Source organism: Homo sapiens, chromosome 5, assembly GCF_000001405.40.
Source record: "Homo sapiens chromosome 5, GRCh38.p14 Primary Assembly".
Classification (NCBI taxonomy): domain Eukaryota; kingdom Metazoa; phylum Chordata; class Mammalia; order Primates; family Hominidae; genus Homo; species Homo sapiens.
Window position 1 is genome coordinate 130,582,515 of NC_000005.10, and position 15,004 is coordinate 130,597,518.

General features: G+C 35.2%; 3 annotated features.

Annotated features, from left to right (window-relative positions):
* Nucleotides 7,065–7,565: an enhancer, noted in NCBI's record as "H3K27ac hESC enhancer chr5:129925272-129925772 (GRCh37/hg19 assembly coordinates)". NCBI's record gives its function as "activates a minimal SCP1, AML or CMV promoter by ChIP-STARR-seq in naive and primed H9 embryonic stem cells {active_cell/tissue: H9 hESC(naive and primed)}" and the evidence as "EXISTENCE:reporter gene assay evidence [ECO:0000049][PMID:30033119]".
* Nucleotides 7,566–8,066: an enhancer, noted in NCBI's record as "H3K27ac hESC enhancer chr5:129925773-129926273 (GRCh37/hg19 assembly coordinates)". NCBI's record gives its function as "activates a minimal SCP1, AML or CMV promoter by ChIP-STARR-seq in naive H9 embryonic stem cells {active_cell/tissue: H9 hESC(naive)}" and the evidence as "EXISTENCE:reporter gene assay evidence [ECO:0000049][PMID:30033119]".
* Nucleotides 10,497–10,676: a silencer, noted in NCBI's record as "fragment chr5:129928704-129928883 (GRCh37/hg19 assembly coordinates)". NCBI's record gives its function as "represses an EF-1alpha promoter that drives an FKBP-Casp9 reporter gene in an ReSE screen in HepG2 liver carcinoma cells {active_cell/tissue: HepG2}" and the evidence as "EXISTENCE:reporter gene assay evidence [ECO:0000049][PMID:32094911]".

Genomic DNA, 15,004 nt, shown 5'->3' on the forward strand with positions numbered 1-15,004 from the left:
ATGAAATTAAGGCAGAAATCAAGAAGTTCTTTGAAACCAATGAGAACAAAGGAACAACATACCAGAATCTCTGGGGCACAGCTAACACAGTATTAAGAGAAAAAATTATAACACTAAATGCCCACATCAGAAAGCTAGACAGATTTCAACTCAACACGCTAACATCACAATTAAAAGAGCTACAGAAGAAAGTGTAAACGAATCCAAAAGCTAACAGAAAACACTAAGATCTAACTAAAACACTGCTCTGACTAAGATCAGAGCAGAATCAAAGGAGATAGAGACACAAAAAACCCTCCAAAAAATCAACGAATCCAGGAGCTGGCTTTTTGAAAAAAATTAACAAAATAGGCCACTAGCTAGATTAATAAGGAATAAAAGAGAAAAGAATCAAATAGACACAATAAAAAATGATAAAGGTGATATCACCACTGACCCCACAGAAATACAAACTATCACCAGAGAATAGTATAAACACCTCTATGCAAATAAACTACAAAATCTAGATGAAATGGATAAATTCCTGGACACACACACCCTCCCAAGACTAAACCAGGAAAAAGCCAAATCCCTGCATAGACCAATAACAAGTTCTGAAATTGAAGAAGTAATTAATAGCCTACCAACCAAAAAAGCCAAGGACCAGATGGATTCACTGCCGAAGCCTATCAGAGGTACAAAGAGGACCTGGTACCATTCCTTCTGAAACTATTCCAAACAATTAAAAGGAGAGACTCCTCCCCAACACATGTTATGAGGCCAGCATCATCCTGATACCAAAACCTGGCAGAGAAACAACAAAAAGAGAAAACTTCAGGCCATATCCCTGATGAACATCGATGCAAAAATCCTCAATGAAGTATTGACAAACCAAATCCAGCAGCACATCAAAAAACTTATCCACCATGATAAAATCAGCTTCATCCTTGGGATGAAGGCTGGCTCATGCAAATCAATAAACATAACCCATCACATAAGCAGAACCAAAGACAAAAACCACATGATTATCTCAATAGATGCAGAAAAGGCCTTTAATAAAATTTATCATCCCTTCTTCTTAAAAACCCTCAATAAACTAGGTATTGATGGAACATATATCAAAATAATAAGAGCTATTTATGACAAATCCATAACCAGTATCATGTTGAATGGGCAAAACCTGGAAGCATTCCCTTTGAAAACCAGTACAAGACATGGATGCCCTCTCTCACAACTCCTATTCAACATAGTATTGGAAGTTCAGCCCAGGGCAATCAGGCAAAAGAAAGAAGTAAAGGTATTCAAATAAGAAGGGAGGAAGTAAATTTGCCTCTATTTGCAAACGACATGATTCTATATTTAGAAAACCCCACCACCTCAGCCCCAAAACTCCTTAAGCTAATAAGCAATTTCAGCAAAGTCTCAGGATAAAAAATCAATGTGCAAAAATCACAGGCATTCCTTTACACCAATAACAGACAAGCAGAGAGCCAAATCATGAATGGACTCCCATTTACAATTGCTACAAAGAGAATAAAATACCTAGGAATTCAGCTAACAAGGAATGTGAAGGACCTCTTCAAGGAGAACTACAAACCACTGCTCAAGGAAATGAGAGGACACAAACAAATGGCAAAATATTCCATCCTCATGGATAAGAAGAATCAATATTGTGAAAATGGCCATATTGCCCAAAGTAATTTATAGATTCAGTGTTATTCCCATCAAGCTACCATTGACATTCTTCACACAATTAAAAAAAAAAACTACTTGAAATTTCATATGGAATCAAAGAATACCCTGTATAGCCAAGACAATCCTAAGCAAAAAGAACAAAGCTGGAGGCATCACGCCACCTGACTTCAAACTATATTAGAAAACCAAATACTGCATGCTCTCACTCATAAGTGGGAGTTGAACAATGAGAACACATGGACACAGGGAAGGGAACAACACACACCGGGGCCCGTTGGGGGGTGGCAGGGAGACGGGAGGGAACCTAGATGACTGGTCATTAGGTGTAGCAAGCCACCATGGCACATGTATACCTATGTAACAAACCTGCACGTTCTGCACATGTATTCCAGAACTTAAAATTAAAAAAAAAAAAAAGAACATTACTCAGCCAATCTAAAAGAAGACAAGAAAAGAGAGATGAAGAAAAACAGGCCTCCACTGGGTAATGGGAGAGACAGAACTCTGGGCATCTGAAAAAGTTCTCCCTAGAGTATTTTTTTTCAGGTTAATTGAGATGTAATTGGTATATAAAAAACTACTTTGTTAAGAAGGTACATCTCATGTTAACTGTTCTTACCTTTTAGATTATCCAGCTTAATATTGATCAGTGCATGCATGTGAGAAAACTACTAGAGGTTAAGGAAATAATTACTTGAAAGGCATGGAAGTAACAGTGCCTTCATTCCAAAGGATAAGGAGGAAGAATTTTAGCAAATTTTATTAGTGAGTATAAATGAAAAAATCAAAAGCAAAATAATAGCAAACCAACTCCAACAATGTATGAGAATGATAATACACCACAAATATCATTCCAGCAAATACAGAAAAAAATTGATAAACTTTAACACCCATCCATGAAAGAAATTCTTAATAAAATAAGCATAAAAGGGAATATTTACTTTGAAAAAAGGTACTTAGAAACTATTACCGTAAACATTATACTAAATGAGATAGTTAGAAATATTCCGCTTAAAGGGAGAAATAAGATAAAAAATTTCATAGTTTTCTGGTTTATCTTTGTTTTTGTTTTACAAAAGTGTATCTGTATATTTTCCCTCTTTTTATGCACAAAAGGTAGCATTCAATTTATACTCTCTGCATTTTGTTTTTCTTACTTCACAATACATCCTGGAAATCATGTTAGTTCATAGAGTTTTCTCACTCTTTTTTATAGCTTCATAATAACCTATTTTGTAGAAGTACCAAATGTGTGGGCATTTAGTTTGTTTCTATCTAATATTTTACAAGTACTACACTGTATAGTGTATACTACACTGTATAGTCTTTATGTATTTTCATATTGTTGAAGCTATAACTTAAATGTAAATCCCTAAAAGTGAAGTCAAAAGATAAATGTACATTTAGGACTTTTTCATTTTTGCCTATTTCTTCTCCATAGCAGTTGAAACATTTTACATTCCCACGAGCATTGTATGAGGCTATTTTTTTCACACATATTTGCCAACAGAATGTGCTGTCAAGTTCTTAAATTTTTTTCATCTAATGGGTGAAAAACAATATACCAGTGTTTTAGTTTTTATTTCTGTTGTTAGAATTGCAAATTACTGTTATGTTTGCAATTAATTGCACAGTCATACGTGTATGGAGGATTTTGATATTTTGGGGTGCATTGTCTATGTCCTTTTCCTCATTTTTAAAATAGATTTATGGTCAGAGTTTTGCGGAGAAAGCCCTTTTTTCTACTGATTAAGCCCTTTTCCCTTAATCTTAACAGTTTTTTATATACTAAATATAAGTTCAAATTTGTTATTTGTTCTTTCTTTAGTGATTTTTTCTTGTCATACAAAAGGTTTTAATTTTTATGATGTTTATCTTTGGGTTGACTGAATCTAGATTTAGAATTCGTTAGTGAGATTTCCTACATCCAGGTTATAGTAATTTAGCTGTCAACAATACCGACATGGTTTCAGTTATAAAGTTTTTAAGTCTGATCTATCTGGACTTCCTTCTGTATGTGATATTAGGTAAGATCCAACTTCTTTTTTTAATAAATAGCTATATAAGAAAGAGAAACCACAAATTATTGAAATTTCTTAATTACAGAGTGTGGGAACAAGGAGTAAAAATAAGCATAATGAGTTATATCTTTCTGACTATGTCTTTATAAATACCTTTGGAACTATTAATGTTTTATATGTTTAAAAGTATAATTATATTAATAAGAATAAGGAAAAAATACAAAATATTTATACAAATAGGAACAAATGACTATAAGTATATACCAAAATAATATAACCTCATAAAAGTGAAAATTAAAGACACAAATTCAATTAAATATACAATACTAGATGCTATATTCTTAGACTGAAGGCCAAAGGGAGGATAAAGAAATCTTGAACTTGACTTAATAGGTTTTGTTAGTAAGTTTTTTTTTTTTTTTGCTGGACAGGATATAGCAAATCTGTAAATGCTGTAGGATTGAGTAAATGACACACATTTGCTCTCAGGTCTTAGTTTTTAAGTACCATTTCACACTAAAAGTAACCAGAGCTTATTAGAGAAATGGATTATTATAGGGCTGAGGCAAGGCAAAATGTGAACTCTCAGTAAGTGATGGAGCTATCCTAAAACAATGTAGGAACTGGCTTAAAGACATTTCCACTGACCACATGAAGGAAAATTTGAACATTAAAATGTATAATGACAGTAATGCATAGCATAGTGAATTTTAAAACTTGACACATATACTGACTTTAAATATAAGCAAACAAAGTACAGTGAGAAAAGGAAAAGCTCTACTTTACAGCAGTATGTAGAACAAACAGTTTTCTTTTTTAATTTTTTAATCATCATTTTGCAGCCATCATTATAACAACTGATTCAGAAAAGGATCGTGAATGAAAGTTAAATAATTATGTGAAAGTTTGTGAGGCAACAGGTCATTTAAAAATCTCAAAACACCCCTCTCACAGTTTACATTTTCATTATGAAGGGGAAAGCATACTCTTATCATGGGAATATTAGATAACACAAATTAAAATATATTATAAAAACAAATCAGAAACTAAAGCTATAAACTTGAAAAACATCCATGTCATAAAAGAAAAAGAAAGGTAGAGGTAGTGTTCCAGGCTTTAGGAGACTAAACAGAGATGAAGAAAACACGCTTTGTGTAACTCTGGAGCAGACTTTAGATCAAGAAAAAAAATTATAAAGTATGGTATAATAACAATAAGGAAAATTTGAATATGGAATATATATTAGATACTAATAGTATATCAATATTTAATTTCCTCAAATTGACAATTTTATTTTTGTTATTTAAGAGAATTCCATTTTCTTAGGAGTAGCCTGCTGAAGATTTAAGAATGAGAAGTCATACTATGTGAAACATACTGTCAAGTAGTTTGGCAAAAAAAAATTTTTAAGAATGAAAATTTTATACATTTATGTATGTATTTACACACACATAGTACTACATGCATATACATATGTGTGTATATATATTTATACATATATAAGACTTTATTACATTCTTTAACTTATATGTTAAATTTGTTCAAAGTAAATCTCAAATAAAAGTAAGAAATTTTAAAGTAAGAGATAAGATAAACAATTTCATAGTGTTCTGGGGTTTTTTTGAGTTTTAAAATTTTAAAATATTATGAACAGAATGGGGATGCCCACTATTGCCACATCTGCTTAATATTTTTCTTGAAGTCTTAGCTAGTGAAATCAAACAATAAAAATACTTAAACTGTAAGAATTTAAAAGAGGGAAATAAAATTCTCATCTTTTACAAAGATATAATTATCTTTGTGGATAATGTAAAAGAATATACTAAAAATTACGATGTTTTATCAATATTACTGGATGTTACATTTTTATAAATCAGCAACAATTCAAAAATATTATTTTTAAAAGCACCATTTACAATAGCAGCAAAGTTGCAAAATACTTAAGATTAAATCTAACAAACATGTGCAAGACCAGTATGTGTAAAACTATTAAAATTTTCTAGAAAGAAATCAAAGGATATTAAATGAATGGAGGGCTATCATATGTTTATGAATGGGAAGTCTTTTGAATGGGAAGTCTTTTAAATATATCTTTTCTTTTGCTAATTTGACCTACAGAGTCAAAGTAATTCTGTTAAAAAGCTCATGAGTTGTTTTTTTTTTTTTTTTCTTGGAAATGAGGAAGACAATTCTGTCAGCTATATGAAAAAATAAAGGCCAGTAATAGCAAGACACTACTAAAGAAGAATGAAGAAGGTGAAAAAAAGCAGGAGGGGAAGGAAGTAGATAAATGGGAGGAGGAGGAGGAGGAAGAAGAACAAAACCAAGACTAACAAGAAGAACAAGAAGGTGGAGGAAGAGGAGGAACTTGCCCTAATATCTATTAAGACTTATGAAGATATGATAAATTTGACATTTGATATAGCTGGCATGACAGATCAGTGGAGAATGCAGAAAATATTCAATAAGTGAAGCTTGCAAAAATGGTTATCCACTTGGAAAAAGAGGAAATTGGAGCCATACCTCACATCATGCACAAAATCAAATCCAGAAGGAATGTGAAATTAAAAGTAAAATAAAACAAAAGAAACACTTAAACTTTTATTAAAATATATAGTGGAATTTCTTTCTGAATTTAAAGTAGGAAATAACAGTTTAAGTGGGACACTTAAAAGCAATAATTCTAAAAGAAAAAATTGTTTATTTTTTCCATATTAAAGTTAAAATATTTTGTGTTTGCAAAAGTAATTTAAAGGATGGGTAAAATCAAACTTTATACTTTAATATGTTTAACAAATATAACTAACAAAAAATTAGGATTAAAAAAATGAAAATAGAGGACACTCAACTATGCATGGTTACCAGCCTCCTACTCTGGGCAGTGACTCCAAGCCAAACCCAAGTCTGAACTGGGGCTCTGAGGCCACTGGAGGACACCCAGCTCTGCAGTCCCCACAGTCTGAATGTTGAACCAGGACAGTGGAACTCCACTGCCTCAATCAAATCTTGAATGTTCCAAAAGCAGAGTTGAAGGCATCAAGATGGCCGACCACAAGCAGCTGGCACTCACCTCCTTTACAAAGAAGGACCAAAACAGTGAGTATATAGCCACACATCAAATATAGCATCTAAGAGAGAATACTGGAATATAACAAGTAAGTGACAGACCACTGTGAAGCACAGGAGAGAGAAGTGAAGCAGCCATCCCAGTCACAATTGGCTCAGAGATAGGAGGGACGTCTCATCTTGGGGAAAAGGCAACCAAGCAATCCCTAATAGTATACTATCATAACATGGACACCTGTAATCCTAGCCACAGAAGAGTCCCTTAGCTCTCCCAGGCCCTGAGCCTAGTATAGGGAGATGCCTGGAGTCCAGGTGACTGCATTGTTCCAGAGAAGAAATTCATGCTTGGTCCATCTCATCCTGTGAAACCCAAGCTACTGCAACATTGTGCAATTTTTAGAGATTAGTCCCTACCATACTACATCCTGCCCTGGGACCCAATAGTCCCTCCATCTCCACATACCTGGATCCCTGCTGACATTCCCCTACATTCACCTGGAGGGCTTCAGTGTTGTGATGCCAGCTGGATGCAGCTGTGTGGCTGGATCCCCAGTACTCTAGACCACTCAGTGTCCTATACCCCAGGGAACAGGGGTCCAGCAAACCAGGCAGAGTGGCCACAAAGCAAAGGGCCCTAAAGCATGCACTCCTCAGAGCCTTGGAGCCTCCTGCCTGCGGCCACTGCCACTGACAGCAAACCTGCCCTCTCTAGCAATGGGGCTGCCATGCACCTCTGTATGACTTGAGAAGCCCTGAGGACCAGCCTATGTGTACCATCCAAGGAGCTGAAAGGTGGATCCGCCATGCCTACTGCTGACACTGGCATTCATAAATCCTCTCCAGGAGCCTGGAGAGTAGCCAGCCTTCCCAGCAACTGCCAGCACCCATATGCACCATCTAGCAGCCTGAGGATTGGCCTGCTCCACATGCCATTGCCAGCACTCACAAGTCTCCCTGGGGGCCCGAGAACTGGCCCACTGAGGCCCCATATCACTACTATGTGATATGCAGTGCCTGCATATGCTGCTGATGGGTCTGAAGACTGGCATGTCTATGGCCGCTATCACCAGTGCCCATGCATGCCACTCAGAGGCCCAAGGACAAGCCCTCCAGGTGTCCCTATCCCCAGCAAACCTTTGCCAGAGCCTCCACTAACAACCACAGCCTAAGCCACTGAGAAACCTGCAGGCACTACTAATGTTGATTACAGCCAAAGAAATAATATGGAGACTACCTGACTGTTTCTCACCCAGAATCAAAGCCAAAGCACCCTACCCAACCAATTCTATAGATACATCCACAAGAAAGTCTTTTTCAACAAAAGTCAATACATAAAAGTGTAAGAAGCAACTGATATACCAAATACATAGATATCAACATAAAGACACAAGAAACATGAAAAAGCAGAGAAACATGATATCTCCAAAGGAACACAATAATTCTCAAGTAATGGATGCCAAAGAAAATAAAATTACAAAATGCCTGAAAAAGAATTCTAAGCATGATCTTAAGGAAACTCAGCAAGATACAAAAGAACACAGGAAATACAAAAATCTGCATAAAAAATTGAACCAAGAGATAGATATCATTAAAAAAGAGCCAAACATAAATCCTAGAACTAAAAAAGACAGTGAATGAAGTAAAAAATACAACCAATGGCTTCAACAATAGATTAGATCAGGCAGAAGAATTTTTGGGCTTGAAGACAGATCTTTTGAAATAACCCAATCAGACAAAAAAAAAAAAGAATTTAAAAAGTCACCATGATATATAGGACACTATAAAGTGAACAAGTATTCAAATTTTCGTAATACCAGAAGAAGAAGAGATGGGAAAAAACACTGAGGTACTCACAGACAGTGCTAACATGCCAAAGAAATCATATGGAGACTACATTACTGTGCCCACCCAGTATCAAACCCAAAGCACCTTACCCGATCAACTCTATAGATACATCTACAAGAAAAAGTCTTTCCCAACAAAAGCCATTCCATAAAATTGAAAGATGCAAATGATACACCAATTATGCAGATAACAACCTAAGGACACATGAAAAAGTAAGGAAACATGACACTCCATGTTTCCCTACTTAATGAAATCATAGCTGAAAAATTCCCAAGTTTTGTAAGAGATATAAACATCTGGCTATAGGAGGTCAAAACTCCCAAAATTTCCATCCAAAAAGGTCTTTTCTTAGGCACATTATAGTCAAACCATCAAAGTCAAAGACAGAGAATTCAAAACAGCAAGAGAAAAGTATCAAGTCAGATCCAAGGAAATCCTCAGCAAACTAACAGAAAATTTATCATCAGAAACCCTACATGCCAGGAGAGAATGACATAATCAAAGTGCTGAAGGAAAAAGTTGCCAAACAAGAATACTATGCCTAGTAAAGTTATCCTTCAGAGATTATAGAGAAATAAAGTTTTTCATTATTTCTCAGATAAGCAAAATCTGAGGGAATTCATCACCATTAGGGGACCCTACAAGAAAAACTTAAGGGAGTTTTACATATAGAAGCAAAAGCACAACTACTATCATGAAAACGTATTAAAGTTTAAAACTCACTGGTAGATCAGATACACAAATAAGAAAGAGAAGGGATTCAAATGTTATCTCTATAGAAAACCACAAAATCATAAAGAGGAAGAAGGTGTAGGTAAAACAATCAGAAAACAATTAACAAATGACAGAAATCAGTTCTCACCTTTCAGTAGAATCTTCAAATGTAAATGGCTTCAGTTCCAAATTAAAAGATATAGAACTGACTGAATTTTTTTTTTTTTTTTTTTCAGATGGAGTCTCGCTCTGTCACCCAGGCTGGAGTGCAGTGGTGCAATCTCGGCTCACTGCAAGCTCCGCCTCCCGGGTTCATGCCATTCTCCTGTCTCAGCCTCCCTAGCAGCTTGGACTACAGGCGCCTGCCACCACGCCTGGCTAATTTTTTGTATTTTTAGTAGAGAAGGGGTTTCACCATGTTAGCCAGGATGGTCTTGATCTGCTGACCTCGTGATCTGCCCGCCTCGGCATCCCAAAGTGCTGGGATTACAGGCGTGAGCCACCACGCCCAGCTGAAAAAATTTTTTTAAAAATTATATGCTGCCTGGAAGAAACTCAGTTCACTTGTAGACACATAGACTGAAAGAGAAGGGATAATAAAAAAAATTATACAAATGGAAAACAAAAGCATGCAGAGGTGGGTATACTTGTATCAGGCAAAATAGACTTAAAGAACATAGAAAAAGACAAAGAAAGTTATTATGTAATGATAAAGGGATCAAGTAAGCAAAAAGACATAAGAATTGTAAATATATATGTAACCAACACTTGAACACCCTGTAAAGCAAACATTATTTGATCTACAAAGAGAGATACATCCCAATACAATAATAGTTGGAGGAATCAACATCTTACATTCAGCATTAGACAGATCATCTACACATAAGATTAACACAGAAACATCAGACTTAATCTGCACTATAGAGCAAGTGGACCTAACAGGCACTTATGGAGCACTTCATCCAACAGGTGCAGAATACATATTCTTCTTAACATCACATAGAATATTCTCCAGTATAGAAAATATATTAGGTCACAAAAAAAGTGTCAACAAATTTTTTAAAACCAAAATTATATCAGGTATCTTATCAAAACACAACTGAATAAAACTAGAAATTAATTAGAACCTTGAAAATAATGTGGAGGTGGCTGGCAAGATGGACAAATAGGAACAGCTCTGGTCTGCAGCTCCCAGCGAGACCAACATAGAAGGTGAGTGATTTCTGCATTTCCAGATGAGGTACCTGGCTCATCTCATTGGGACTGATTAGACAGTGGGTGCAGCCCATGGAGGGCGAGCCAAAGTAGGGTGAGGCGTTACCTCACCCGGGAAGCGCAAGGGGTCAAGGAACTCCCTCCCCAGCCAAGGAAAGCCACGAGGGACTGTGCCATGAGGAAGAGTGCACTCCAGCCCAGATACTATGCTTTTCCCACAGTATTCGCAACCCATAGACCAGGAGATTCCCTCGGGTGCCTATGCCAACAGGGCCCTGGGTTTCAAGCACAAAACTGGGAGACAACTCTGACAAAAACAAGCAATGGGGAAAGGATTCCCTATTTAATAAATGGTGTTGGGAAAACTGGCTAGCCATATGGAGAAAACTGAAATGATCCCTTCCTTATACCTTATACAAAAATAAACTCAAGATGGATTAAAGACTTAAATATAAGACCTAAATCCATAAAAACCCTAGAAGAAAACCTAGGCAATACCATTCAGGATATAGGCATGGGCAAAGACTTCATGACTAAAACACCAAAAGCAATGGCAACAAAAACAAAAACTGACAAATGGGATCTACTTAAACTAAAGAGCTTCTGCACACACACAAAAAAAACTATCAGCAGAGTGAACAGGCAACCTACAGAATGGGAGAAAATTTTTGCAAATCTATCCATCTGACAAAGGGCTAATATCCAGAATATAGAAGGAACTTAAACAAATTTACAAGAAAAAAATAAACAAACCCATCAAAAAGTGGGTGAAGTATATAAACAGACACTTCTCAAAAGAAGACATCTATGCGGCCAACAAATATATGAAAAAAAGCTCATCATCACTAGTCGTTAGAGAAATGCAAATCAAAACCAAAATGAGATACCATCTCATGTCAGTTAGAATGATGATCATTAAAATGTCAGGAAACAACAGATGCTGGAGAGGATGTGGAGAAACAGGAATGCTATTACACTGTTGGTGGGAGTGTAAATTAGTTCAACCATTGTGGAAGACAGTGTGGTAATTCCTCAAGGATATAGAACCAGAAATACCACTTGTCCCAGCAATCCCATTACTGGGTATATACCCAAAGAATTGTAAATCATTCTACTATAAAGACACATGCACACGTATGTTTATTACAACATTATTCACAATAGCAAAGACTTGGAACCAACCCAAATGCCCATCAATGATAGATTGGATAAAGTAAATGTGGCACATATACACCATGGAATACTATGCAGCCATAAAAATGGTGAGTTCATGTCCTTTGCAGGGACATGGATGAAGCTGGAAACCATCATTCTCAGCAAACTAACACAGGAACAGAAAACGAACCCCTGCATGTTCTCACTCATAAGTGGGAGCTGAACAATGAGAACACATGGACACAGGGAGGAGAACATCACACACTGGGGCCTGTCAGGGCGTGGGGGCTAGGGGAGGGATAGCATTAGGACAAATACCTAATGTAGATGAAGGGTGATGGGTGCAGCAAACCACCATGGCATGTGTATACCTCTGTAACAAACCTGCATGTTCTGCAGATGTATCCCAGAACTTAAAGTATAATAAAAAAGAAAGAAAATAATGCAAACAAATGGAAATTAAATGACATGCTCAAAATGGCCACTGAGTCAATAAAAAAATTAAGTAGGTAATGTGGCTTGAATATTTGTCCCCTTCAAATATCATGTTGAAATGTTATTCCCAATGTTGAAAATGGGGCCTGGTGGGAGGTGATTGGATCATGGGGACAGATACCTCAAGAATGGTTTAGCACTATCCCCTTGGTGTTAAGTCAGTTCTCAGTTAGTTCACATAGGATTTGATTGTTTAAAAGACTCTAAGACATCCACCTTCTCTCTCTTGCTCCTGCTCTCGTCATATGACATGCTGCTTTTGCTTTGCCTTCTACCATGAATAAGAGCTCCCTGAGGTCTCACCAGAAGCCAAAGGGATGTCATCACCATGCTTCCTTTGCAGCCTGCAGAACTGTGAGCCAATTAAACTTATTTTCTTCATAAATTACCCATCCTTGGGTATTTATAGCAATGTAAGAATGGCCTAACACAGAAGGATAACCCAAAAACTTCTCAAAACGAATGGAAATGTAAACAACATACCAAAACCTATGGCATACCACAAAAGCAGTGCTAAAAGGAAAACTTACAGCAATAAGCACCTACCTGGCATAAAGTAGAAAGATTTATAATAAGCAATGTAAAAATGTACCTCAAGAAACTAGAAAAGCAAGAACAAATCAAACCCAAAATTAATGTAAGAAAAAACATAATAAGTATCAGAGAAGAAGTAAATAATATAGTCTTTAAAAATACAAAGAATCAACAAAATGATAACTTGGTTTTTTGAAAGATAAACAATATCAATGAACCACTAGTTAGGCTAACCAGGAAAAAAAGAAAGAATATCAAAATAAATAAAATGACCAATGAAAAAGGAAACATTACATCACATAGCACAAAAATATTTTATGGTTAAGGCTTTAGAAGCATAGGCAACAAAAGCAAAAATTACAAATGAGATTACATCAAGCTAAAAAGCTTCTACACATCAAAGGAAACAATTATCAGAGTAAAGAGACAACCTGTAAAATGGGATAAAATATTTGCAAATATCTAGAATATACAAGGAACTGAACTCAAATGCAAAAAAAAAACAACTAATAATCCCATTAAAAACTGGTCACAGGATCTAAATAGAAACTTTTCAAAAGAAGATATACAAATGTCCAACAAATATATGAAAAAATGTTCAATATCACTGATAATCAGGGAAATGCAAATCAAAATCTCAATGCAATATCATCTCACCCCAGTTAGAATGACGTGATGGTTAATACTGAATGTCAATTTGATTGGATTGAAGGATACAAAGTTTTAATCCTGGGTGTGTCTTCGTGGGTGTGGCCAAAGGAGATTAACATTTGAGTCAGTGGGCTGGGAAAGGCAGACCACCCTTAATCTGGGTGGGCACAATCTAATCAGCTGCCAGCTCAGCTAGAATATAAGCAGGCAGAAAAATGTGAAAAGCGAGACTGGCCTAGCCTCCCAGCCTATATCTTTCTACCGTGCTGGATGCTTCCTGCCCTCAAACATTTGACTCTAAATTCTTCAGCTTTGGAACACGGACTGGCTTTCCTTGCTCCTCAGCCTGCAGATGGCCTATTGTGAGACTTTATGATTGTGTGAGTTAATACTTAATAAACTCCCATATATATACACGGAATATATATACACGGAATATATACACGGAATATATATACACGGAATATATACACGGAATATATATACACGGAATATATATACACGGAATATATATACACGGAATACATATACACGGAATATATACACGGAATACATATACACGGAATATATACACGGAATAAATATACACGGAATATATACACGGAATACATATACACGGAATATATACACGGAATAAATATACACGGAATATATACACGGAATACATATACACGGAATATATATACACGGAATACATATACGGAATATATATACACGGAATACATATACGGAATATATATATGCGGAATACATATACGGAATATATATATACGGAATATATATATACGGAATATATATACGGAATATATATACAGAATATATATACATGGAATATATATATACGGAATATATATACACGGAATATATATACACGGAATATATATGCACGGAATATATACACGGAATATATATACACGGAATATATATACACGGAATATATACACGGAATATATATACACGGAATATATACACGGAATATATATACACGGAATATATATACGGAATATACATACACAGAATATATATACGGAATATACATACACGGAATATACATACACGGAATATACATACACGGAATATATATACACGGAATATATACACGGAATATATATACGGAATATATACACACGGAATATATACATACGGAATATATACATACGGAATATATACATACGGAATATATACATACGGAATATATACATATGGAATATATATATGGAATATATATGGAATATATACATATGGAATATATATGGAATATATATGGAATATATATGTATATGGAATATGTATATGGAATATATATGTATATGGAATATATATGGAATATGTATATGGAATATATATGGAATATGTATATGGAATATATATGGAATATATATGGAATATATATGTATATGGAATATATATGGAATATATATATGGAATATATATGTATATGGAATATATATGGAATATATATATGGAATATATATGTATATGGAATATATATGGAATATATATATGGAATATATATGTATATGGAATATATATATGGAATATATATGTATATGGAATATATATATGGTGGAATATATATATATAGCCAATAGCCACTAGTTCTGTCCCTCTAGAGAACTCTGACAAATACAAAT